Raw genomic sequence first — 1,948 nt, 5'->3', positions numbered from 1 at the left:
TAAGTCTATTTAATTTTTAATTTTGGGGGGAATATACACATTTTCTTTTGACTTTTAGCAATAGTGAATTGGTTAGACACTTTTCTTTAACAATATATGAATCATTAATACATCATCAACAATATAGTCATCTGGAGTTTGTCATATTTTCTTATATTCTTGGCACTTTTTTTGTTCTTAGGCATTTCTGGCTGTTATTCAAGTCTGATCTTAATATTACTGATTCAGTTTTGGGGAATATAAATTCTGATATTTCCTTCTTTGATTTCTGTTACTCTTCCATCTTCTTAACTTTCCTCATTCACATTTCACTTAGATTATGCAGTTTGAATCTTGGAGTCGGGTCTGTTGGGGCCAGTTATTTAACTACTCTTATTCTCAGCATTTACACTAGAAATGAAAGGATGAGAACTATGTTATAGGGCTTCTGCAGGATTACACAAATAGACAGTAAGATGCCAGCACAGTATCAAACATAGTTGGTCTTAAGTATATAATATATTAGCTTTATTTTCAATCACTAACTCAATTACAAGGCAGAAATAAGCATATTCTTTTTTGGAAAAAAAAATTCTAAGATAATCAGAAAATACATTATAGTAGGGCATACCATCCTGGTTTTAATGCTTTGCATTTGTTTTTATTTACTTTTGGATAAAGAAAGCAGATGAGGGTTAGGTTTATTGATAATTTCATTATTTATAATAATAGCAAAATTAAGATTTATTTGGCATTTAAAGGATACATTGCCAAGTACTTTTATGTCATGTATCTTAATTACTATGATTAATAATAAAAACTAAATGTGCAAGGCACTTTACAAATTACTTTTGTTTAAATTATCTCATTCTACTCTTAAAATAACCTATGAACTCATTATATAAACTGCGTGGCATTAAGTCTTTATTTTATCAAAATGACAAAACCATGTCTCAGAGCTATAATCTGCTTTTAAAAATACAGCTAGTGAGAGGCAGATCTGGGATTTTAATCTGAGCATTTTGACTAAAAATCCTATTTTCTACTGCATCTTATGATCTTCATGTGCATTGAATACTTGTCAAGTTCTTTGCATTTACAGTGGATAATTTGTTTGTTGTCCCCATTAAACTGCCTTTGCAAAAATTATAACAGTGAGAAAATTATGACAGTGAAAGAGATCTGATCTAACAAATTCCTGTCTTGCCTTTAACTTCCAAACTGCTCTTGGTCATTCCTGGGGTTGGGCCAAGCTAACTTTGAGATAAATTTAGTTTATAGTTTAAATGATAATAGCCCTTCCCAAAAGGTAAACCACTTTTGTAAAACTGATAAAATATAATCAGGTTAGGAGGATGAGAGGGGCTTGAATTCTGCTAAGATGTAGGCATGGTTAAATGATTACCAGCTATTATTCCAGAGGTCGCAAGATTTGCAACTGCCTCAATTACTTCAGCAGATAACATAATTATTGGAGAACCTAAGCTTGGCCTTTTGAGATGTTCTTTCAGATTTTTGCATTTCTAATGACTGGATAGTTCCACTGGGACCTGCAACCACTCAACTGCTTCTATGGCCCCCCAATCAGAAATGGACTCAGTGCATGAGGACAATTTTTTATACCCCTATTATTGCATCCTCAATGAATCAGCAGCAACCATTCTCCTTGCCTTCTGCTCATCAGAGTACCTTTGAAAAACCCATACCTCTGAATTTTCAGAGACAGATTTGAGTAATAGCACTCTAGTCTCCTCTTTAGCCAGTTCTGTGTGAATTAAACTCTTTCCCTATTGCAGTTCCCCTGTCTTGATAAATTGGCTTTATCTGGACAGTGGGCAAAGAGAGCTCCTTGGGAGCTTACACCCGTTCTATCTCTATTTTGACATTACTAGGACTCAACTAGATATATAGAGGGAATCACTGGGCGCTGTTCAGAGAAATGACTTCTGTTGTGCCACCTCCCCAGTCA

The 1,948-nt window shown here is 34.1% G+C and overlaps 1 annotated feature.

Moving 5' to 3' along the window:
* Positions 225-394: an enhancer, noted in NCBI's record as "experimental_30968 CRE fragment used in MPRA reporter constructs". NCBI's record gives its function as "activates a minimal promoter by MPRAs in K562 erythroleukemia cells, with activity observed for the non-introgressed 12:90775533 variant allele {active_cell/tissue: K562}" and the evidence as "EXISTENCE:reporter gene assay evidence [ECO:0000049][PMID:34662402]".

The sequence above is a fragment of the Homo sapiens genome, chromosome 12 (genome assembly GCF_000001405.40).
Source record: "Homo sapiens chromosome 12, GRCh38.p14 Primary Assembly".
NCBI classification, from domain to species: domain Eukaryota; kingdom Metazoa; phylum Chordata; class Mammalia; order Primates; family Hominidae; genus Homo; species Homo sapiens.
This window is presented reverse-complemented; position numbering and strand designations above follow the sequence as displayed.